The sequence below is a fragment of the Homo sapiens genome, chromosome 8 (assembly GCF_000001405.40).
Source record: "Homo sapiens chromosome 8, GRCh38.p14 Primary Assembly".
Lineage (NCBI taxonomy): Eukaryota > Metazoa > Chordata > Mammalia > Primates > Hominidae > Homo > Homo sapiens.
Window position 1 is genome coordinate 64,684,639 of NC_000008.11, and position 26,627 is coordinate 64,711,265.

Consider the following 26,627-nt stretch of genomic DNA (forward strand, 5'->3'; position numbering starts at 1 on the left):
AAATGAACCTACAAATGGCACCTTACCAAGCAACTGCCAGCAGGTGCTCAACAAATATTTGGTGACAGATCCAATTAATGCCTGCCTTCATTTTTCTCTTCTATATAATATAGAAATGCACAATGATATGAAATGAAATTACTCCTAGACATTTCTCCAAAGAAGATATACAAAATAGATACATGAAAAGGCGCTTGACATCATTAGACATTTGGGAAAGGCAATGCAAAACCACAATGAGATACCACTTCACATCCACAAGGATGGCTCTTATCAATAACCCAGACAATGACAAGTTTTCACCAGGATATGGAGAAATCAGAGCCTTCACACACTGAATGTAAAATGGAGCAGGCATTGTGTAAAACAGTCTGCCAGATCCTCAAAAAGTTAAACACAATAATACCAAATGACCCAGCAATTTCACTACTAGGTATATACCCAAGAGAAAAATTACATGTCCATTCAAAAACTTGCAAACAAATGTTAATATTAACATTAGGCAGTCTTTGCCGCCCCGCCGGCGAGCGCCGCCCGGGAGGCAGCGGCTGGAGGAGCGGACGGGCCCCGCGGGGCCCGAGGGCAAGGAGCAGCCGCCTGCCTTGGCCTCCCAAAGTGCCGAGATTGCAGCCTCTGCCCGGCTGCCACCCCGTCTGGGAAGTGAGGAGTGTCTCTGCCTGGCCGCCCATCGTCTGGGATGTGAGGAGCCCCTCTGCCTGGCTGCCCAGTCTGGAAAGTGAGGAGCGTCTCCGCCCGGCCGCCATCCCATCTAGGAAGTGAGGAGCGCCTCTTCCCAGCCGCCATCACATCTAGGAAGTGAGGAGCGTCTCTGCCCGGCCGCCCATCGTCTGAGATGTGGGGAGCGCCTCTGCCCCGCCGCCCCATCTGGGATGTGAGGAGCGCCTCTGCCCGGCCGAGACCCCGTCTGGGAGGTGAGGAGCGTCTCTGCCCGGCCGCCCCGTCTGAGAAGTGAGGAGACCCTCTGCCTGGCAACCACCCCGTCTGAGAAGTGAGGAGCCCCTCCGCCCCGCAGCTGCCCCGTCTGAGAAGTGAGGAGCCTCTCCGCCCGGCAGCCACCCCATCTGGGAAGTGAGGAGCGTCTCCGCCCGGCAGCCACCCCATCCGGGAGGGAGGTGGGGGGGGGTCAGCCCCCCCGCCCGGCCAGCCGTGCCATCCGGGAGGGAGGTGGGGGGTCAGCTCCCCCGCCCGGCCAGCCGTGCCATCCGGGAGGGAGGTGGGGGGGTCAGCCCCCCGCCTGGCCAGCCGTGCCGTCCGGGAGGGAGGTGGGGGGGTCAGCCCCCCGCCCGGCCAGCCGCCCCTTCCGGGAGGTGAGGGGCGCCTCTGCCCGGCCGCCCCTACTGGGAAGTGAGGAGCCCCTCAGCCCGGCCAGCCACCCCGTCCGGGAGGGAGATGGGGGGGGTCAGCCCCCCCACCCGGCCAGCCGCCCCGTCCGGGAGGGAGGTGGGGGGGTCAGCCCTCCGCCCGGCCAGCCGCCCCGTCTGGGAGGTGAGGGGCGCCTCTGCCCAGCCGCCCCTACTGGGAAGTGAGGAGCCCCTCTGCCCGGCCAGCCGCCCCGTCCGGGAGGGAGGTGGGGGGGTCGGCCCCCCGCCCGGCCAGCCGCCCCGTCCGGGAGGGAGGTGGGGGGGTCGGCCCCCCACCCGGCCAGCCGCCCCGTCCGGGAGGTGAGGGGCGCCTCTGCCCGGCCGCCCCTACTGGGAAGTGAGGAGCCCCTCTGCCCGGCCAGCCGCCCCGTCCGGGAGGGAGGTGGGGGGGTCAGCCCCCCGCCTGGCCAGCCGCCCCGTCCGGGAGGGAGGTTGGGGGGTCAGCCCCCCGCCCGGCCAGCCGCCCCGTCCGGGAGGGAGGTGGGGGGGGTCAGCCCCCCTGCCCGGCCAGCCACCCCGTCCGGGAGGTGAGGGGCGCCTCTGCCCGGCCGCCCCTACTGGGAAGTGAGGAGCCCCTCTGCCCGGCCACCACCCCGTCTGGGAGGTGTGCCCAACAGCTCATTGAGAACGGGCCAGGATGACAATGGCGGCTTTGTGGAATAGAAAGGCGGGAAAGGTGGGGAAAAGATTGAGAAATCGGATGGTTGCCCTGTCTGTGTAGAAAGAAGTAGACATGGGAGACTTTTCATTTTGTTCTGCACTAAGAAAAATTCCTCTGCCTTGGGATCCTGTTGATCTGTGACCTTACCCCCAACCCTGTGTTCTCTGAAACATGTGCTGTGTCCACTCAGGGTTAAATGGATTAAGGGCGGTGCAAGATGTGCTTTGTTAAACAGATGCTTGAAGGCAGCATGCTCGTTAAGAGTCATCACCAATCCCTAATCTCAAGTAATCAGGGACACAAACACTGCGGAAGGCCGCAGGGTCCTCTGCCTAGGAAAACCAGAGACCTTTGTTCACTTGTTTATCTGCTGACCTTCCCTCCACTATTGTCCCATGACCCTGCCAAATCCCCCTCTGTGAGAAACACCCAAGAATTATCAATAAAAAAATAAATTTAAAAAAAAAACATTAGGCATAGTAGCCAAATGTGGAAGGAATCAAAATGTACATAAACTGATGAATGGATAAAGAAGATGTGGTATATCTGCACAATGGAATATTATTCAGTCATAAAAAGGAAAGAGCTATTAATTCACGTGACAACTTGAAAACATTATGCTAAAGGAAGAAGTTAGTTACAAAAGACCACACATTGTATCATTCCATTTATACGAAATGTCCAGAATAGGCAAATGCACGGAGAAAGTAAATTAGTGGTAACCTAGGGATGAGGGGAGGAAGGAATGAGGAGTGGCTGCCAACAGAGTTTTTTCTGGGGTGATGAAAATGTTCTAAAATGAAAATGTTCTAAAAAAAACCTGATGAATTGTACACTTGGAAATAGTGGATTTTATGATGTGTGGATTTTATGATGTGTGAATTATATCTCAATTAAGAAAAATTTAAAATGCCCCAAACAAAGCAAAGCAAAACAAAATGTGATAACACCTAAAAGTATGTAGCATATAACAGGTGCTCAAGAAACATAAATTTTTCTCTTAAAAATTATGTAAACCTCAAAAATACACAATAAAATTTACTTTAAAAATCACTCCTTGGATAATTCAGAGTTTCTCCGAGTATTTTTCAAGTATGTGTTACTCCATATAGCTGGGAAAACAGCTCCACCTCCTTTCAATAGTGTGAAAAGTGTAATAATAAAAGCCTCGCTCGTTACTTATAGGTCTTTTCTCTAGATATTATATTTCTCACACTTCAGTGAATCTACCTAAGGTTGTCTGCAAGATTCTCTTCAGTATGAGGCAGTGGCTAACTAAACTTGGTAGCTCTTCCCAGCCATCTCCTGGGTTTGTAGAGTTCTCTTATTCTATAGCATAATACATACAAATACATTTAGTACCAAATAAACCCTCAACCATTGCTCCCTCTGCTTTTATCCCTAAACACATATGTTTCAGCATAAAACACTTTCTTGGACTCAATGAGAGCACTGCTGATAATACAGATGTCTGCACATAAAACCTGATATTCAGGCTGGGTCACTACATCTGTGAAGGTCCTGCAGCAATGCCCAGAAGCCCACTTCTACTCTTCTATCTCCATCTTCTCTCTGAGCAAAGCTTTAGAGACTTGGGTGGTGGCCATAGTGACTACAGTTAATATATAAAAACCTTTTAAAACTAGCTTTTGAAGTTTTTTCCATTTCTCCTTTCTTCCTTCTTTCCTTCCTTCCTCCCTCCCTCCCACCCTCCTTCCCTTCTTTTCTTTATTCACTTATCTATTTAGCAATAAACATTTATTTAATATAGACTACATGCCAGGTACAACACTAGAAGCTGAAGATACACTGAATGGAAAAAGAAATGCCTACAAGGAGGTAATGCTTTGCTTTAAAATGCACACATCCCCTATAAGCTTTCAGAAGTCCAACTCTGGCTGAAGTGCAAGTTATTTGGGTTCTGGTTTTCTAGGTGCTGGTGATAAAAATTGTTGATTTAGGGCCAGGTGCAGTGGCTCATGCCTATGATCCCAGCACTTTGGGAGGCTGAGGCGGGTGGATCACTTGAGCCCAGGAGTTCAAAACTGGCCTGGACAACATAGGGAGACCCTGTCTCTAAAAAAAAAATACAAAAATTGGCCAAGCACACTGGTGTGCACCTGTAGTCTCAGCTACTCAGGAGACTGAGGTGGGAGGATTGCTCAACCTGGGAGATGGAGGCTGCAATGAGTTATGATTGTGCCACTGCACTCCAGCCTGGGTGATGGAGCGAGACCCCATCTCAAAAATATAAATAAATAAAAAACAAAAATAAAAAATGTTAATTTAAAAATAAATTCTGAGGCGTCTGCCATTAAGTTTAAATATCCTTCCATTTCTTTCCTAGTGTTTAAATTAGCTGTATGAAATAGATGTGTCTTTCTTTACTTTTAAAATTATTATTTATTTCCAAATACATAGCATACATTTTGAGATCAATTCCTAAAATCTGTATAAATATCAAACTATAAAATCATGTTTATAATGTCCTATGCAAGTTCACTGTTTAAAGGAATAATGAAGTAAATGTTTATGTAAATTCAGAAAATACTCATAAGTGAGTTATAATTTCAATTTTATTTCTGGGGTTTACTTAAAGAGGGAAGGGTCATATTAACAACTGAATTTCCTCACAAATACATTCACACACATAGATCCTACTTCAATGGCAGGCACCATAAGTGCCTATCTTACATACTGACACTTGCAGGCATGTATGAGAAATATTATCCCCAAAATCATGAAAATCACGAATCAAAGCACAACACATTCCTTCTTCTGTGCTGTTATTTATGAATGAAATTGGTCCATGTTGAAATATCCATTGTTTTTATAGGTTATATGCAACTTTTAACTGGCTAATAGACCACCAAAACAATTATTTGATTCCAGTTTTTTTTTTTGGACAGGGTCTCACTCTGTCACCCAGACTGGAGTGAAGTGGCACAATCTCAGCTCACTGCAACCTTCACCTCACAGGCTCCAAGTGATTCTCCTGCCTCAGCCTCCTGAGTAGCTGGAATTACAGGTGTGCGCCACTACTGCCCGGCAAATTTTTGTATTTTTAGTAGAGATGGGGTTTCACCATGTGGGCCAGGCTGCTCTCGAACTCCTAACCTCAAATGATCCACCCGCCTCATCCTCCCAAAGTGCTGGGATTACAGGCATGAGCGACCACGCCCGGCCTGCTTCTGTTTCTAATTGCATTTCCACTCTTTGGAAAACGCTTCAAATAAATTACAGCTATGTAATTACTATATTAAAATATGTGTTCTCCTTTTAAATAAGGAGAAATATGTCTTGATGTAATACTCTTTTCCTAATTTTAAAAGAATATTCCAATGCTAGATAGTCTTTAAAATAAATCAATTATTTTATGCCATCATTTCCCCATGTTTATGATCAAACATCCTATTTAAAAAGTAATGATCGGGGGCCAAGCACGGTGGCTCACGCCTGAAATCCCAGCACTTTGGGAGGCCAAGGCAGGTGCATCGCTTGAGCCCAAAGGTAGAGACCAACCCGGGCAACATAGCAAAATCCCATCTCTACAAAAATAAAAATTACAAAAATTAATCTGGCATGGTGATGCATGCCTGTGGTTCTAGCTACTCAGGAGGATGAAGTAGGAGGATCGATTGACCCTGGGAGGTTGAGGCTGCAGAAAGCTGTGATCGCACCACTGCACTCCAGCTTGGGCGATACAGTGAGACCCTGTCTCCACAAACAAACAAACAAAAAGTAATGAGCAAACCCAGATGTTGTGTATTTTTTTTGGAGGAAGGGGTGGATAGAGATACTCTTATTTACAGCCTTCTTTGAAGCCAAGAAACTATGAGGCCATAAAAATTTCTAATTTCTTTTTTATGGACCTGCTAAGAAAATGCTGGTTAAAACAAACATCAACAACAAAAACTTATGTATTATTCTTTTTCAAATTTGATGGAATAACCAGCATTTTCAGTAGTATATATATGTTGAGCCACGGTTAAAGAAATATGTGAGAATTGTTCTATTCAAAAAATATATATAAAATAGATTGTGAAACGAGAAAGCATTTTCCAAGGCAGGCTTATGCTTCTCCTTTAGCTGGAACTACTTCTCCTGTTCACTCTGCTGTGGGATGTGGATACAAACATCCCCAGGCATTCACTTTCTGCCAGGACATTTTTGTGGCTTAAACATGCACATAAGCAATCAGTTTTATGCCTTCCAGTAAGAAATGGAACCAAATATTTATGGCACGAAGGGACTGCACATGTGTAACTGTGCAAAATTCACCACTCCATTCCTCCTCCTGGTTTGATGAGCAATTCTGTTCTATAACGCTCTGGGATGAAACAACTCCCGAGGTAGGCTTCCCAGGGCTCGGGGAGGAGGTGGTTTAACAATGACAGTGAGGGGAGTCCTACCAATGGCTAAGGTATTACTTCAACATTATACAACATCCAGAGCTTCTACAAAGTTTCAAAAAGTCTCAATAGACATGGGCACTTATCAAAGTTGTATACTTTACCAAAACGTTTAAATTTTCTTATTTATCAACAGAAATTCAACCATTAAATAGGTAGTACAGTTTAGGGACGTTAAGCAGGCTTAGTGATCACTTATCAGCTCTTCCAAAAGCTCTAAAATAAAAGACAGGAGAAACCAAATGGCTACCTACCTTCTCCTCTCTTAACTCTTGTCCACTGTCACAGAATACAGGTTGCCAGAAAAGCACAGCTCCCACTGGCACACACAGCCAGCATATGTACATATAAACAGGCACCAACATGAACGTATGGTTGCGATGGCAACTGGGGGGGGGGGGTGGTGGTTAAAGCTGGAATGTGGATGGCCTCCAAAGTCCTTTTCAACTGTAAATGCAATAGGCTTGTTTCTACTCATTGTTGCATCCAAGTGCCTGAGACATAGTAGGTACATGAAACAACATTTTCAATGCAATGACAATGGCATAAAAAATACCTCCACTTTAGTGTAGCCTGAGGAACTCACAAGTCCACCACTAGCACCAGCTCAACAGTCATGGATCATCTGAGCACTGAGGCTGGACAGGCCCTTACTGCTCATCCAGTCCAACCTCCCCCATCTGCAGTGGAGTTAAGTGACTGCCACAGTAGGGGGCAGAGCCAGAGCAAGCCTCCTGCCTCCTAGTTCTTAGGTCAGAGCACCTTCCCCAGTACAGACGATGCTTATCACACAGTTACTGTGAACACCCAAAGGGCCACCTTTCTGACATACCTCAAACATGTTTTTTCTGGAAGTTGCAGAGTATAGATATCCAAATCTTGTCTCAAAGGATTGCAGTCAGTCAGCATCAACTGAATGTCCTCTGTGGCCAAAACATTATTAGAAAAAAAACTCACAGATGAAGTGGAAAGGATCACAGAAATGAATACGCATATGCTAACAATAGGTACCTACCCCAAAGAGCCACAATACTATCCACTGTCGATTGCTCTGATTCTATTCTCATGAAGCAGCCTCTGGAAGACCAACGTAACATCAATGTTACCTCCATGTCAATAAGGGGATACCCTGACTAGCCCATTTAAGCATTTATGTCTCTGAAAGGGTTCACTCCTAACTGCAAATTAACAAATGGATATTATCACTTACTCATGTCTTTTTTGAGACTATGTGTACATCAGTTTATGAGAGGGTGGTTAATCTGTATTCACTGACAAATTCAGACTCCAAGCTGTTGAAGCAGACCCCGGTGCACAGAGATGGAGCCCGGTCTGAGAGTGCTTCCCTTGACATGCCTAGGTCAGCTATCTATCTAAGAGCAACAGAAAATGGTCATGGACATTTCTCAGTGTGTCTTAGAGAAGTGGAGAGAGAACAGAATCTAGATCACAGTGGGCTGAGAGGATCACAGGTATAATTACGTAAAGGTCAGAATAAACTCAGGCTTGGATTCCACAGCTTCATCTGACTTTATCACATTGAGTACACCTTCAAAGACAGCAGAAGAGGGAAAAGTCTCCTGGAGTCATTTCCACACCTGTATTATAATTATCCATATTTTTTATGAGAGCAGATACTCAGATTATTTTTTCTTGCTACTGTCTACCCAGTACCAGGCACTGGACCTGGTACATTATAGATGCTCTATAAATGTTTGAATGTATGTATGAATGAATGAGGTTCTGTAATTCTTCCAAACTGTTCTCGAGCCACATGTAACTCTTCCAGCCACATGTTCCAGTTTACTAGGGTGAAAAATGCTTTTCCATTTTCTATTTCCAGAATTTCATATTTGGAGTCAAATCATTCAAAGCTGTCTCCTCATGGACTGAAGAGGCTGGTCAGGACTAGGCTTTGCCAAGTGTCCCAGCATTAAGACATCCTGCTTCTTTGCTCTCAGGGCAATGACCTTGTGGTCTCATTTGCAATCACTGTTCTCCAAAGGAAGTCCCATTATCTTCACTTGCAGAGCCTAGCCAGAGTATGTCGTTCAGACATGATCTGCATGACAGAGTACTGTCATGCAGAAATTGTGCAGGTCTGGCCATGGCTATTGGGAGACAACTGAGTGTCAAGCACTTGGGATGTGTGTGCACATTTGTGTAAGTGTGCATGTGTGCATGCACATGTATACATTTCTATATGTGTGCGTCCGTGTGTGTGTGCGGGTATGTATATGTGTGCACATATGTGCATACAGGCATGTGTCTTTGTGTGTGTTTTGGCAAGGAGGCAGCAATGGGGCTTGACACTGAGCCTTCAGAGGCCAGGCTCCCTCTTATCCAGACAGCATAGCTCAGTACCATACCTCTGCTTCACAACACTGCGCAAGTGAGATGAAACCTTGTAGATTATACTTAAATGATCCTTTCCTCTAACATTTCTAATAATAAACTGTATTGTGTATATTTAAGTTTATCTTTTACCTTTCAAAAGAAGTACAAAAATAACCATGTGCTTAAAGTTATGGGTGGACTAGGCATAGGGTGAGAAAGGACCATAAAATGGAATGGATTAACAATGAACTTAGAAGGTATATATTTCAAGAGCATTCAAGAGAAATACATGATTAAATAAATGGAGAACCATGCAATATATACACATACACATATATACGTGTGTGTGTGTAACTTGTTTGCTGGTCTCCAAAGCCCACTGACTAGTTAACTTGATCTTCCTAGCAACCAAGCCTGTGAGGGAATTAGAGAGGTAACAGTCTTCCCATTTTAAGAAGAGAAAACTGAAGTCTAAAGTGATTTGCTGAAGGCCATCTGGCTAGTAAGTAGTGACAAGATGATAACCAGGTCTCTTGATTCCCAGACCAGTGTGTTTAGCTAATCTGTCCTCAATACGCGTTGAGGCTTGGAAGACAAAATTACCATCAGCTCTATTTCAAAGGGCAACTGAAAAGAAAGAAAAATAAGGCAGTGTGTTCAGCCTATTATTTTACTAAGCTCTCCAGATTCTCTACCTACTGAATATTTCATGAACATGAAGACCCCCTTTAATTGCTTCATTCCTGCCCCAAATTCATAAGAAAAGAAATAATTTAATATTGAATCTCTTGTAGAGTGAGGTGATTAGAAAATATCATCTGCAATAAACTTTTAATTACATGCTCAGGGTCAAACATTTGAAACCTTATTTTCATTAAACCAACACTGCCACCAACTCTGCTTTGTAATTTTAAATATGGCTTTTTCTGTTTACCTCCACTCTATGTTCAGTACTGAAGCAAAACCTTCCAAGTCTGGCCTTGCTCTAGATAAGGAAGAACAGGGGAATTCTGCTAAAGTTGGAGCTCTGCATGAGTCTGAAAGGTGCAGAGGTAGGGTGGTAAATGAGAGTGCTATGAGGCCAGTGCAAGTCAGAATGCTGGCCTCGGGACTGCCTGTGCTGGTCCACAGTGAGAGACAGAAAGGAGAGGAAGAGCATAGAAACTCTTACAGCAATTTCACAGAATAATTTTGTCTGTTGAAGATAATAATAGAAAATTAGTTAATATTTCAAGTGTTTTTTATTTCTAGTCATTTATTTTTACTGTATTTTGTGGAAGTATTGATCCAAAAAAATTGGAAGGAAATAAAGGAAGTGGTCTGTCTCTGCGTGTAGTTTGAGAAGCACTATGCTAGGCCACTCTGAGGCAGGTTTTATCTGGGAGGAATGTAATGGTTTCCCAGATTATCAAAGCTACCTGTATCAAAATGTAGGAACAAAAGTTATACATAAATACATATCTGTAATAACAAACTGCAGTTTTGATTGCCCGTTCTGTCCTGACTTCTGAGTACATGGGTAACGAGAAGTGGGCAATCCAGAAATGAACTGAATCTGACGTCAATAATGCATAAGATAAGACATTTAAGCAAAACTCAAGGGTCCTGTTGAAAATCTGAAATTCAAAACAATTCGAACCCTTCAATTATATGCTGCTGACTAAAAATCAGCCATGCTGAGAAAGGAATGGCTGTCCCTGCCCTCCCTCTGCTTTTGGTAGCTGAGGTGAAACGAGCAGGTGGTTTCAGCTCAGTTCCTCATTTATAAACCGGCTCTGTGAAAAATACACACGCAAAGCCACTTGTTTGGCAGTCTCAGAAGAGGTCTGAGGACTGACCGGACATGAGCCACAATTACCCTCTCACCCTGGAAGGAAGTCCCTGCAGGTTAGGGGCGATGTACATCAGTAGGTTAGGATGCAAAAACCCTGCACAGCTGCTGCCTACATTGGGCGGCGGGCTGAGGGAGAAGGAGGACATGTTCATTTCCAGATTACAAAACCAGCCCTAAAATGGAAGTGATCAGATTATCACTAATTTATGTTATTTAATCCCCCATGTTCTTCAGACTGCTAAATCTCTGTTATTTTAAGGAAGCATTGTAAGTTTTTGTCACCTTTTAAAAGTTGTGCACTTTTTAAAAAGAACAAAATAAAACATGTTATCAAATTCCTTTTTTTTTTTTTTTTTTTTTTTTTTAAGGAAAATAATGAACCCAGTGACAGTTAATGTGATTACTATGGCAATTTGTATGCATATGATATCGTGGACAGACAATGGATGTGTCATCAGCACCCGAAAACAGCCTGTTTCATGTTCTCTTGGGCTTGGCATTCCTGACAATGCAGACTCCCTCTAGTGGTCAAAGTAATATATGTAAATTCTCAGGTTGGTTAACAAAAAAAGGGCTATTTTGTAATCTGGCTGCTTTTAAAAGAAAAGAAAAATTTTTTGATGTGCAAAATGTTTTCAAGTACTTCAAATGATGTAATTAGATATAAATTTAAAAATGCAAAATGTAGATTCTATTCTTAAATTATCTAAATGTATATGATAAATAGAACAGTTATAATTCTTATAATTTATTGGACATTAATTCATTCCTCTGAGTTTGTAATGCTAAATGTCCAGAACAAAGAAGACCCAACAACAGATTTATTAACAGGGTCATGACTATTCTTTACCAATACAAGCACTTATCATTTAGGGGACTGGATTTCCACAGTTAGATAATTTCCAAAGCAGGTATGAGGTTATCATACAGGGTCATTATTATCTGATGCCTGCACTGAAGGCCTTATTTTTAAATGCTGACCAAGACAGACAAGATGGTACTCACTTAGACCAGATGTTTTTACATATTGAACTTATTGATTATGACAATACTTTTGGAAATCAAACATTTAGCCTTTATAATGAAACTACAGATTCCTAAAATATTGAAACAAAGTTCTGGTTAAAGGGGATAATATATGTGGAAACTATAAACTGCAAAGCAAAAAATCAGATATAAATTATTATTTTTACCACCTAATCCTCAGACCATCTTTTGCAGATGAAAAATGAAACCCTGAGAACCAGGAAGCTCAAATGACTTGTTCATGGTCACTAAACTAGTCAGCAGGAAAGGAAATGAGAAGCCAGCTACTCTGAGCCCCAGTCTTTTTGGAATATGTATGGCTAAGGAGACATAGTGCTAGCTTTGTCAGTCTTCATCTTAGCATTGATTTGTGACTGTAAAGTATTTAGCCTGATTTCCATACGAAATAGTCCCATTCTTTGTGTCATATTGCTTACTTTTTTTTTCTTATATTTCATCAATTATTTAAGCACTTTCTGAAGCACTGGTTAACTGACAGAACAAGTTCCTAGGTAATTCTTTTATGAGATGAACATGAGATGTTAAAAACTAATAATTGTAAAAATACATGCAAATTTCTGGTCTGAATGCTCTCTCAGTCACTGTGGACTTAACAGCTCAATTCTGGGTTTCTTGTACATTTCTGGAATTTTGTGAAAAATAAATGATGACAAAGCAGTAAAAGTGCTGTGAAATTGTGGCAAATGCTACAAACACAAGTTCTTGTTTTAGTTAGCCAAAGTTAAATCACACAGGGGAAAAAAAGGGTTTTATCTACTGCTTTAGTTTCCTGGAGGGTGAAGGAAAATAGAAACTGCCAATCTGTTTGGAGAATGAATGAAAATGGAAGAAAATCACAAATTCTCTCCACAACGTGTATTGCCTGGCAGGTTCTGTGTTAGGTGCTGGAGAATGCATTATCATTTTTCCCCTGAGAGTTTTGGCATTTGATTTGGACTAGAACTAAAATTGTGTTACAATCATAGCTGTGAACTCTTATAATTATACTCACATATAAATACAGTAATGGGTTGCCACTTCTTGGGGAAGGCCAAACACATTCTGACTCATTCAGTTTTTTATGACATGAAAATGTGTAAGCCCCCCTCCCGCTGTGTCAATCCAGACTGTAAACTCTGAGAGAACAGGACGTGTGTCTGTCTTGTCCATTTCTGTATAACCAACACCTAGGATAGTGCCAGGCACAGAGTCAGCATTCGTTTTGTGCTGGCTGAATTTGAACTCCAGGTTGGACATAATAAGAACTCACCTGGAGGGAGGAGGGCTGAAGGAATGAAGGAAGAACTAATAGCGCATGGGGCTGTTTTTGTGCCTTATCTAGGAGATACGCCACTGCTGCCAGGGAGAACAGGCTGTTGGGCTTCGTTTCACGAAAAGGCTGACCATGTTCACCAATATGTACCCAGAGACTATGTAGCATCCCCAAACTGTGCTCTACATTCCACACTATGGATGAAAAATACATGAGATCTCAACCACTGATAGAAATGTCAGAAAAGCAGACAAGAGCTATCACCACGGACTCTTCAGAGTCAATACAAACCAAACAAACCAAAAACAAAACCAGTTTGTGCTCTTCAGTTTTCATTTTTTAAATCCTGACCAAGAGAGACAAGACAGGGCTCACATAGACCAGATATTTTCACAGACTGGACTTACTGATTACGACAATACTTTTTGAAATCAAGAGTAGAATCACCTTAGTCCATGGCCTTGTATCAAATAAAATGTTCAACGTATACAAGAGTGAAAAACATAAAATTCCACCAGTTTTCCAATGTCTCATGCTTTCGAATTTATTTTTTAAAGTCCTAACACATGATGGGTGATAGAAGCTTCTTTTTACTGTCAGAGAGATCAAAGAGAGGTTGAGAAAGAATCCATAAGCAGATGCTGCCCAGTGACAAACCTGAAAGAAGCAGACAGTGGGGCCAGATGTTGGAGTGACCTTTGGTCTGCAGATCACGTTGGCATGGTGTTGATTTAGATAGTTGTTGGCAGAAGCTTTAGCTCCAGCAGCAGGGGGGGGAAAAAAACTAAACTACGGAATTCTTTCCTACTCTTTCCCCTCACTAGAAAACCCAAAACCACTGGTCAGTAGTGCTGATGGCTGTCAAAGAAGTTGAATTCACCACGCGACCCTGCCAGTAGGTATCACATCAAAAGGGAGTTAGCTGAGTGAGTAAGAACATCTTCAGGCTGTGCCATTTTGCATCCCACTCAACTTTTAACAGCTGTTTCTTGAGTGAATACAGACACAAAATAATTATATGAAAAGGACAACATATTCAATATGCGAGATGATATTTACAGTTATTACTTAGTCATTGATAGAAGAGTCAACCAGGAAAAATGCTGGCACATCTGAAACCTGAATGACCTGTTATAATTAGCACCCAGTGAAAGTTCCCTTAAGTTGAACTCTGAACTGTACACTCTGAAGACAGCACAGGAAGTAGGTTTTCATTAAAAAGAATGACCCAAATTAGTACTGAAGAAACAAAAAAATATATAATGGTGTGTTATAGTTTTAAAGACTCCTATCACATTATGTGATTATCCTGATCATTCACTCATTAGAAATTTAAAGGATTTTTTTCTAGTGACCCTAAGGTTCTTAATATTGCAAACACTTGTAAATAAGCCAGATGCCCTCTAATCATAGGTTCTGACAGAATTTTAAATTTCAGCCATCATACAATGCTGCAACACAGTACTTAAATGGAAGCTTGCTTTATAGTATTAGAGATGATTGCAGGCCACATAGTTCTTCTGACACTTTTAGACATTTTGTCACTTTACCTGGAGAAATATACACTGCTTATTCTAAATTGCTGCTGATGTCCAGCACTTGTCAAAACCTCTATCTGTCAAGGCCTTCACAAAGAGTTGAAAAATGACAGATCAGGATGTCTGAGTTGATGGAGCCCCAGGAAAAATGGAACAGATAGAAAATTCATGACTCTAAACTACATCAAAGTGACTTCTGTCAACATCATGTCAAAAGAACTGTTCATTTTTAGAGGTTTTTTTAAAATTATATAAACACTTTTTTGAGTATGAGCTAAGTGTAATGAAAAAATTTTCTTGGTGTACAGTATGATCATCCAAATGTTCCAAAAATACACTTTAGATCATCCAGGAATAAGGAAAATTCTAATAGTAGATACTGTCTGCCAGTTAAAACCAATGACATTCAAGAGAGATGTATGAAGTTACTATCAGCTTAAAATAGGACAAACCATCTGGCTATAAAGGAACAAAAGTATATTTTTTGCATATTTTTGAACACATCAAATTTCTACAACTGGATTAATTTTTTATTCTTCTACAATCAGTTTTGTTCCATTTTTTGCTTAGTGTGACAACTGCAAAGCACTAATTCAGTGTTATTTTCCTAAACAGGTTTCCTAAAATAGCTAGCATTATTTTAATTTTAAAAAAAATTACTGGAAAACCCTCATAATGCATAATTCCCTTAAATTATTGCTTTCAGAAGGAAGTAAAAAAATAAATGGCTTATGTTATGCAGTACTGCATACACAGAACCACTCCATAATCACATTCAAGGAGTCATTCACTGAATGAAATATGAGTTGCATCAATCTGGAAATGACCACTCTCCCATTTTAATTCCCAACACCTTTTCAGGGAGGATGGCTGGCACCTGGTGCTAGAACCCAGACAACTTGAGTCCCACTGCTCATATGTCACTGAGATAAATAGGATAAGTGACCTTGTGAGGACAAAACTGTAGAATGTGCTGTGTGCATATATACTGAGCAGACAGTGGGGACGACGCATAGAATTCACCATGCACACACATCAAGCACACATGTGCAGAGTCACACACACTTAAAAGAGCAATCAAACATGAGCAACTTCCACAGTCACCATAACCGGCCCTAACACAGCAACACTGTCAATCATTTATACCATCCATTTGGCAATTTTGACATCAGTCCTTTCTAACAACCACCAGGACAGGGACCATCTATGATCCTAGTAACGGTGGCCACTAATTCACTGCACTTGTCCAGTGGCACAAAAGGTCCATTATCTGTGACCAGAAAAGTTTGCTTATGTCCAGAATGATGTCAGATCTCAAAAATAACAAGCACTTCCAGTTTTGAGAGAAGCTTGCTTCCCATAGCATTGTGTCAAACTATGTATGGGAAGTACCATCTATTAGGACAAAAAAGTAGGACAAGATCACTATCTCTTATTATAGGCAGAACTCAATATATCTTTTGTTCTACTTACAAAAAAGATGTTTATTACCTGTAAGTGTACAGAGGTGTGGACTTCATGGGAGTCGTGATTGGTAATAAGCCTCTTTTTCTCATTTACATTGATAGCAAGCATTAGTGAAGATATATGCATTTCATTTCATGGTTCAGAAAGAACAAAGTATATGTATATGTGATAGCAGTGGGTGGTTAATGAAATGGTCTGACAAACATAAGCTAATACATAATCATACCAGAATGTGACTGGAACACCTGTTCCTGCTTCACACACTTCCAATTCTTAAGGAAAAGTTACCATTCTGAAGAACTGAAGCCACCACTATTTAGACATCAATATGCTCCAAGGAAATTTTAGTCACTTTTTGTTGTTGTTGTTGTTGTTGTTGCAATCACTAAAAGGTGGCTATTTTAATGATATCAAATCTTTTTTGCTTGTGTCCTAAGAGTAATGAAAACTTCACACATGCATGAAGCTCCAGTAATTATTTTAAACTGCCTTCTGTTGTCCCCCTGAGGAACACGGTGGTATTTGTTTGATGCAGTTTAATTAGTGTCAGGGTAATTAATGCTATGCTATCTACATGAGATCAAAACCCTTTCTTTGTAACACTCTGGTAACTAAGAACTAAGAAAAGGAAGCATTTTGAAAACGTCGAGGCATGGTGTTAACCTGGGTTCACCAGTGAACCCAGTTCTCATCTCTTCCTCCACACTTCACCCAAATGGCAATTTCAGTCTCTCCCAGGATAAGATCATGCCCGTAATGCATTGGAACCACACTGCCAGGTATAAGACCCACTGGCTGCTATGGAATTAAACTCTTTCTTTATGGGCATAATCAAATTAACTAAAACATTCATGGTCACCAGGCAGCTTTTGCTGTAGTTTAATCCTTTAATAATGAAATAGTAAACTTTTGCACTGACAGAGAACTAGAGGCCCTTGTAAGCAGGGTGTGATATTACCATGTGCTGATATATTTTTTCAAATAAAAGAATCATTTGGTTTAATGAATGAATGTGATTCTGCTTAAATGCCTGAATAAAATTTGCATTTAATTGTAGGTATAGATAGTCTCTCTATTTGACGATAATGTTAAGAGAGGAAAAAACAGAGATAGGCAAGGAGAGAAGTTAAATACACAAAAATTCCAGACACACACATAACGGGCACTACCATAAATCCTTTTTAACTGTTTCTTTGGTAATAAGCAACGGCAGTATAAACCTCCCAACACACAAACTCAAGCTGATCACAGGCTTAAGGAAATAACTCCAGTTATCTTGACTAGATAAATTATTATATCACAGAGGTTATTCCAGTTTCTAATAAAGCACTGTAGCTAACAAACAAAAATAAAAAGACCAACCATTCTCTTTATTTTATAACAGATGAAATTACAGGCTGCATGGGATCGACACAATGGCATTGAATTTATTTTTACTCTAAAAAATGCACCATGCAATGTTCATTTTGGAACACGACCGGTGCTTTAACACAATGAGGAGAACCAGCATTAGACTGATAATATTTTTTATGGGAAGGGGAGGCTTTAATGGCACATATCTAACAAATAAACATGACTGGTTTTAAGTCAAACCAAATGGACTTAGCCCATTATAGAACTATACTAAGCATGAAAATAACCTCTGCACTGCACAAGAAATGAACAAAGAAAAACACTTCTAGAGGGTAAAAACATTAACTCTATAGTAGTTATGAAATTGTGTCAGTATCCATCAGCAGCTGAAATTAAGGTTAATGTTATAAAATGAGATTTCACTAGCTTAGGCTGGCAGCGTATCACAACCTGAAAGGGTCTGTGCTGAATGCATCTTCTTGAGGTCATTCATTACTGAAAACCTACTGGGATCAGCTGACTAGCAAAATATGTTTTTTCACATCTTCAGTTCTGCTTCCTGTGACTTCGTTGTTTATCAATTAAAGTGATAAATACAAGTGACTTTGATAACACCAGAAACACATTATGTAGTAAAGTAACCTCCAGGAACCCTGCAATAAGAACTGTGTGCAAAGTTCAACAACTGTGAAGGAACTATTGAAGAGGACACACAAACAAGTGACCTTGACTGACAAGCGCGCTTCATTCCAGCAATAAACAGCGGTGGTGCTGATAACTGTTCATTGGCGCAGAGAGTAATTACCTATCTGTCAGCGTTGCTGGTGTGTGCGAAATAGTATAAATGAAACATACATAATGTACGGCAATAATATCGGGCATGCAGAACCTAATGTATTATCATCATTCTCAGGACCCAGGTTTATGTGGTTGCCACCACTGAGTAAATGCCTTCTAGCCATGATAATTTCATTCTAATCTCTGTTCCATATTATAATTTTCATAGCTAAAAGATACTAAGGAGCAATACGTTTCAATCAAGGGCTAAATAGAACACAACCTATAACTGGGTATTTTATACATCTATATTTTTTTTCTTTCAAAAAATTTAGTCAATTTATGAAGAGACTGGAATAAGCTGTAAATTTATGAGTGACAAACCCTGTCTGTACCAATGTCACCATGCCTAGAGATGGGGTGAAAGGGCCTTATGAACGGGTTGTCAGCTTTGTCTCACATTTCTTTCAACAATACGAAATTCTATCTTTTTAAATGCTTCTATTCTGTTCCAAAACAGAAGGTAAGGATGCATTTTTAAACAAAATAAAAGACAGCTCCTATTCAAAAGGAGAAAAATAATCATCTAGTTGCTAAGATAAATTATCTTGATTTGCTTGAATTGCTTAATTATACATAAAACGGAAGCACAGCATAACCCCTTACACCATGATATTCTACTCTTCTTATAAAACTGTCTGGCTCTTACATGCTTGGTTTTTTCCTTTAATGAAAATACAATTTGAAGAAACCTCTAAATCATATTTAATACCATACAAAAGAAGCCAGGAAAATATAGGTAGCAGCTAGGCCATCAGGACCAGTTCCTTGTCTGAAGGATGAAACATTAGAAATCCTCACATTAATAGGGTAAACAAACGAAAGAAGCATATCCCAAACTACATAATAGAAACAGCTGTTGGTCAACGGCTCTGTCATTCAGAAAGGGAGGAGAATATATGAATATTTAGAAAACAAACTGACACGTGATTGTTTTAATCTGGTTCTCTCTTTACAACAAGACAAAATATTTTGGAAACTTTTAGATAGCATGAAATAATAATCAATACAACAGTCTATCTTTTAAAAAAGAGCATTTAAATTGATTGTCCAATGTCACATTTTGAAGATCACAGACATGAGCGATTTGAACTATAGAAGGACTTCATCTTCATCCTTTGGCTTTTTCTTTGCTGGTTTCTCAAAGTTGTTTTCTCAAGTGAATATTGTGGGTAATAAATGATGTCCTGACAGGAGATTAGACAAAGCAGAGAAACAGCTCAAGTTTTTCTTCAGGGTTATCCTTTTGTTTGCTGCACTTTTCTTTCTATATGCCTAGTCAGGACAGAAAGCAATAAAAAACTAACCCATGATAAGTTGTTAGAAGTATGATGTGTTAACTCTCAAAGAAGCATTTCTATTTTTAAAAAGAGGAAAGGCAGAGATAATCCATGGCAGGAAGAAATAAAAACTCTTTTTTTAACTTCCTCAGATCATGACATTAAATAGCTTGTCTATTTTACCCATGTGTCAGCTGACTTCATTGTATGGCTAGCCCAGTACAGAAAAGATTTTTACCCAATTTCAAGTCATTCAATCAAACCTGGCATTCCAGGATACTCTTTCTAAAGAGGCAATATCTGGTAGATGAATAATGTCTATAAATTCCACAGATATATCTTAATCATCTCAGTGGGTTCCCCATTTAATTCATATAATATGACTTTCCTAAGTAACATCTCAATGTGTAGCATTATATGTGTTTTGCATGCAGGTTTAAAAATATAATATGTATCAGAACATAGAAAATTGTCAGGAAAAGGTATAACCTTATTTCATTGATTCTAAGAACAGTAGCACATTTGTTTTTTACATCTTTGCCTCTTTGAAATAGCTTCTTATAGTCTCTGAAAGCCAGGTGGTAAGATCAAGACTGCTCTAACATCAAAGCAGAAAAGTCTTAGACATACCTCTTGACTTTTGCATTCAGGGATATATAACATTTCATGCTGTTCTGGCTTTGAGAAATATCTGTTACACATTTATCTTAAAATGGTCTTGATCACAACTATCACATCTTAAAAAATATCCAACAAAATAATATATTTATTTTATGCTGACATCTAGAGTATGTCTGTGTGGCATGAAAATATCTACTTAATCAATTAAATCAACAACCAGTTGACTTATTGGGGGAAAAAATCAACTACACTTACTTAGTTCCACTGACTCTATTAGGATCATAAGGACCTTGCGTTAGATGTGTTTAGACATTATCTCTGTGGCCTACTCAGTAATTACCTATGATCCCATTTACTGATAATTCTCAACCTAGGAATGGGCAGACAGCCAAGGAACTCTTTCAGTCATTCCCAGCTCTGGCAAAGGGATAAGTCACCTCCTCCTTTTATCTGAGAAGCACTTCCTCGGGGCCAAGTGTATCAGGTGGGTTGTATCTTATCACTCTGATATGTTAGGGCGGTAAAAAGCAAGAACCAGTGGAGAATATAATCTGCATAATTCAAAAAGGTGGGGGGGGGAATCACCACCTTTTCATAATTTTCTCAAATATCCCCAAGGATATTTATCTACAGCCGTGATTAGAATTTAAGTTGTTTATTGTCTCATAATATGTCAGAAAATTGCTATTGCATTTCAGTCATTATTCTCATTGTCTAAAACATCACTTTTTTCAACATAGATGTGTTAAATAAATGAATGAATGACTGAATCAATGAGTGAATGAATGGTATTCTCCAATTCAGATTAGTTATTTTATGAAATCATATATCCTAATTTGATGTTGCAAAGTCCATGCCAAAAAAAAAAAATCTCAAAACATTAAGCACAAAGCACTCTCTTTATCATGTCCTTTGGTTTTTATAAGATTTTTTGGGGGTGAGGGGAGTAATAGAATTACTTAGAATTGACGGTTTTGCAGTTAAGGTACACTTTTAAATCAGAAATTAACTTTTAATATATGGCTTGGTGATGATAATACTGAAGTATGTAAAGTGCAGTTGCCTTCTTATAGGCAATATACTTGATTAATTTTGAACAATTTAACAGTGAAAGATTAATTAAAAATTTCATCCAGTACAGGCCATCTTTCTTTTCCAATTACATTCCTTTAGAGCGGCCATAACTGTTTTAATAATTGCACTGAAAATGCTAGAAAGTATCAAGATAATACAGTGATTCAGTGAGAACAATAAAATTCAGAAAGATGGCACTTTGGTATTTAGAGCATTTAACATTGTGGTGTATAAGCCCTCTGAACTCCAACGGGTTATTTTAACCAAGAAGGTCTAAACTGAGCCTTAATTTTTTTTTATTTACATAAGAACTACTTTTATGAAGCATTTATTTAAAGTACTTTGCTGGAAAAAGAAAACAGCATTAAGAGCCCCTCTAATTATCTGGCATAAGATTTCAGGCTTATGATAACATTTCTCTCTGAAAACATAGTTGGTAGAATTGACTTTGAGATAAAAGGATACCTCTAAACTTGATCCTAATGCAAGGAAATTTTAGAGTACAAAGGTGAAGGTGAAGTTAGAATACATGGTAAAACTGACTACTAAGTCCTGAGTAAAGTGTGCCAATAATGAGTATAAGGGAAAACATTTAAAATGTAGGCGTTCTTTTTATACTCTTAAACTAGGAGGATGGTTGTTCCTGAAACAATCATTCTTTCCATAGACTACCTAAGAGAGTGTTCATCATTTAAGCACATACTTTCTCATCTCTCTTCATTAATCAGGATCTTAATTCTAATGAAACAGAAATACCTGTTAAAAGCTTCACAATTATAAAAGTTCTCTACATTTCTCTGATTTTTCATATGAAAGTTGCAGCAAGAAATCCTGGTTGCATCAGGAAAATAGAAGTTCTTGTCCTAAGTAAGGGCTCTTATCTTATCGATTGGATTTAATTAGGTCCATTTCATCCCTTATTAAAAATAGTAAACTAATCACAATAATAAAAAAGGATGTTGCTTGATAAAGAGGCTGTCCTGAATCACCACTGAGAGCAGGAAGACCTGAGTTGGACCTTGCTAAGCTGCTTACATCAAGCACATGTCTTTCCTCTTTGAATTTCATCTCCAATGTGGTACAATAATAGTGACATTTTATTGGCACATACTAAGCCCTCAATAAGTAGGAGAAAAGATTATCATCAGCTTAAAAAATACTTTCTTAAAAGAAGGTATCCAATATCAGAAAGGGAAACAGGATTGCCAAGCAGTCGTAACAATTGAGCAATTCATCCACTTAATACCATCCAGTAGAACACAAAATCAGACTTTATATTAGAAACCTTGAATGATTCAGCTTTAAACAATAATAAATTTATATACATTTAGAATTTATACTCCAACAACTCAAAAATCCATATGTTGTGCAACATATGCGTATGCAAAACAAGCCTTCCAGAGAGAAAATGGAAGTCTGAGAGTTCTACTAAGGCAATACTTTCATCCTTAATGGAGTCCATTTAGTTTGAAGGTACCTAGAGGCCAAGAAAATGAATATTGGAGACAATGTCATTTCCCAAATTCCAGAGTCTAATATCTATTTCAACATGCCTGTGTAATTCAAGGCCATATCCCCTGATAAGTGGCCAGGCAACCAGCTCTCTAATTTGTGACATCATCTCCAGGTAGAAGTTCTTTCATAGTCATAGTATGGGCCAAGCTTATCTAGGGGGTTTTATTTGGCATTGAAGAGGTTATAGTAGGCACTTCCTTTCTTTTGAGTGAACAGAGACTTCACAAACACAATCAGACTACAGCAGTTTAAAAATTCAATAGACCACTACAAACATGACATGTAATCAAAAGCTAACCACTGAAAATGGTATTCACCTGTCATTTGAAATGAAAAGTTTCCCTCCCCAATTACTAACATGGCAGGCTATCTTGGGTAGTCAGTTATCACCAAATTAGACTAGTAAGCCATTTCATCCAAACATTTACATTTTATTCAATTAGTTTTTTTTTTCACTTTTCTTGCACTCCAATTTGTTTTTCTAAAGACTTAAAATCCAAAATCAAACAAAATTCTCTCTGCTATGACCAATCACAAACTCTGGATTTCTAAAGATTTTATTGGAAATTATACATAGGAAATAAGATGTGTTTTTTAAAATAATTCACTATCAAAGTATACTCTCTGGAAATAGAGATATATACACTGGCATATGATGGGCAGTACTGGGGAGGGAGGAAGATAGAGAACTACCCTGAGAATTAGAAGTGCTAATCATATAATTCTAATCCCCTCAGGCTTGCTGTTGTATCTTTTGCAATATCAGGATATGTACAATGCCCTTGGGAGCATGGACTATCAGCAGAAAGAGGCAAAGGATATTATGTTCTTTTCTTCCTTGCCTGGTGTTATGTAAGTTTGCTTCACTGCCCAGTCATCTGTATTGAGTAATTGATGTTGGATAACAGATTATTGGATTTAAGTGTGAATCTGACTTAATCTAAATATTTTGCTTAAAACTATAAAAGATTCAAAAGAAATTTTAGGATGGTTTCAGTGAAAATCACTGAAATTTACTGAGTTTGGAAGTTCAATGACATCCCCTTCTGCTCTCTACTCTGTCCTCACTGAGGCCACCAGTTCACCTACTCAGCACGACATCTTTATCACATTTTCACAATCAGCCAATATGTCACCACCTTTCTTTGACACTTTGCAAAACTTAATAATCACTATTTTGTTGTAAACAAAATCCTTAAGGAAAGAAGTCATCCAAGAACATCCACAAAGATATGAGTACAAATTTTTTTAAATATAATGTCAGTATCAGGATTATGCTAGTGAACCTAGGCGTTTCAGTTTGTTGCTTTATGTGCTATGATATCAGCTCCAGTAGAATTTCAGAAATAATTCCATGTTTTCACATTTAATATGGTCATGAGGACTTTTAAACTAAATGTATTGCTTTTCTGAATTAATGTTTTGTTAGAAATTAATAATTTTTTGAAATATGGCTTAGATATCTGCATTCTTGAGTGTATATAATACACGCATTTGATTATATCCAATGTTCAACACTGAAAGTACTAGTTATTAAAATCAGTTACATATAGCAAAATCATAGTCAGAAATATTTACATAGGCTTGAAGACATTTGTGTGTGTGTTCGTATAAGCATGTTAGAGGGGAACCTCCTTTCCACTGGTTTTGTGTATCTAGATGAAAGTACTTTCCATAGATAACACCATTAGTTCTCCCTCAACCTCATGCTCACCTCCTCCTTTGCCTCTCCACAAAGAAGAAATGTTAACTTATCTAACTGTGGGCAACAGTGATCTGACAGGCACTGAGCTGTGTTACTCCAATTGGTGGACTAATCTTGAGAAAGGGGCCGCAGTGCAGGATTCTCTTCTCTATCAGCTCTGCACCAGAGGCAACACTGATCCTCCTGGGAAGGGGTGTGTGCTCTGAAGACACAATCATTTCCTTGGGTGGACCATCACTTCCTTGTATAGTGAGGAAGAACCAAAATATAATCAAGCCTGTTTAGCTGCAAATGCCAAGCTTCATTTTCCAAAAAGCTTGATCAACAATAAATTTGATCTTTTGATTTCTATCTTTCTTTCTTGTATCTTATTTATGAGCTATTTCTGAATATAAAGTGTAGAGGGAGAAGAAAAGAGTGTTATGCATTTAATTCTCCCCACTGCATAAAAACTTTAATGATATGGATATTTGTGTATTTGTGTGTTAAGAAGAATTAAATATGTATGTATATATAGTCATTCAAGTAGTGCTTTCATTACTAAGAACATATGTAAATGTATTAGTCAATGGTGAAAATTATTAAAAAGTCAGAATCCTGGGATTTATAAGACTGTTCATAAAAATCTGGACTGTTTTCTATTATCATTATTTTAATTGTATATTTTACAAAGAAAGAAATAGTTCTCAAAGGAAGTGAAAGTGAAATACCTTAGGGCTAATCTGGATGGAATCATAATTTGTGTTACAAGCGCCAGAAAAAGGATAAACGGCATACACAGTGTATAGCTTTTCAAAGGAGGAAAAAGAAAAAGAAAACATCAACTTACAAAGTACTCTCCCAGAAACACTTAAGATTGTTGAAAATTAAGCACAATAGATTGCAGAGGATTTGATTTCTGTGTTAATTTTTACTACATTGATTTTTTTTCCTCATGAGCTACTTCACCTCAAACTTTACTGTTTGAGAGCAATTTTTTGTAGTCTGATTTCATGACTGATTTTGTCCTGCCACAGTATTTGGTTGACATTTTCTACAGGCCATATCGAGAACAGTTCTATCAGATAAAAACAATGGCACTCGGCTCATTTTTCTGAGGATATTGTTCAAGCAGTAGAGAGTCACAGCAGATTCAGGCTCGCTGATTCCATTAGTCTCAGTACCAGCCCCTGTGATTCTGGAATCTATCCATCCCTCCTAGCCTACCAGTTGTTGCCAGCCAAGTCTTCGTAAAGCACAGATCTGACCAGGTCACCCCATCCTCTCTGAAACTCTCAATGGCTTCCTATGACACAAATAAGATTCAAATTCTTTAGAGTTTGATGCCCTCTATTTTTAAAACACCCATCCCTGATCCAGTTAGACTGAGTTGCTCTCCATTCCCTAACTTTGCCTTGAATTTTCTGTCTTCCTTTGTTCACATGGTTGCCTTTGGTCTGGCATTGCCAACCTACTCACTTTGCAAGGCCAAAGGATACTTCTCTTTCATTTGTTCCTTCATCATTCATTCATGGAGTAAATACTGTTTAAGTAGCTCCTATATATACCAGGTACCATATTTGACACCTTCTCTCTTAGACTTTTCTTACATCCCCAATTCCTCCAACCTTGGAAATAATCTTTCTTTTCTCTGAATTCTGCTAACATCTCAGTTAGGATACTTGCCATTTTTAGATTCAGAAACCTCCTTTGTATATCACTGTAGGCCAACAGTACCCAGAACATGGTAGTACATCAATAAATTTCATGAATGGATAAATCCATGGTTGAGCAACAGATGAATACAAAACACCTTGTAAAATATAAATTGTATAAAAAGTACATATAAATATATTTTATTTATATTCTTATATATAATATATAAACATAAAGCACCTTATAAAAATAAATACCTTTCAAACTAAGCTTCATATTTGAAAATACATAAAATATTCAAGCAGCCCAATTTTAAAAGGAGATACCTACTTTGTAGTAGTTTAAAATAGGAAAACTCCTGCAAGATCTTAAAGAATAAAACCACACATACTTCTCACCTTAAGAATACTTTATCTACCATTATAACAAACTGCATTTATAGAAACAAGCACATTGCAGTTTGCCCATTTCTGTTCTATATTTTTAGAAGGGGGAAGAGAGATGTGGGCATGAGAGGGAGGGAGGGAGTAAAAGGTTTTCAAATCTCTCAAAGTTTAATACACCAGAAGAAGACAAGAGTAGAGGCACTAGGAGCCCTTAACTCTAATGATAGTGGTCATATCTGCTGTCAGCTCAGCACAGAGAGATCTGTTGCTACAACTTCTAGACTAGCAGAA

At 39.3% G+C, this 26,627-nt stretch overlaps 1 protein-coding gene across 3 annotated transcripts in view, besides 1 other annotated feature; it reads right to left on the reverse strand.

The window, feature by feature from the left end:
• CYP7B1 (cytochrome P450 family 7 subfamily B member 1) overlaps positions 1 to 26,627 on the reverse strand; it is a 212,163-nt gene that overhangs the window by 98,064 nt on the left and 87,472 nt on the right. The window contains exons 1-2 of one of the 3 annotated variants that reach the window (XM_017014002.2): positions 7,471 to 26,102; positions 7,288 to 7,378 (exon numbers count right to left, since the gene is read on the reverse strand). The exons of the other annotated variants lie outside the window; for them this stretch is intronic. Coding sequence (XP_016869491.1) covers positions 7,288 to 7,378; positions 7,471 to 7,567 — 188 coding nt within the window. The 5' untranslated portion in view covers positions 7,568 to 26,102. Of the gene's footprint in view, positions 1 to 7,287; positions 7,379 to 7,470; positions 26,103 to 26,627 lie in introns of those variants that run through there. 3 annotated transcript variants of the gene reach the window in all.
• Positions 10,775 to 10,834: an enhancer, noted in NCBI's record as "active region_27456". NCBI's record gives its function as "activates an Ori minimal core promoter by ATAC-STARR-seq in GM12878 lymphoblastoid cells {active_cell/tissue: GM12878}" and the evidence as "EXISTENCE:reporter gene assay evidence [ECO:0000049][PMID:35858748]".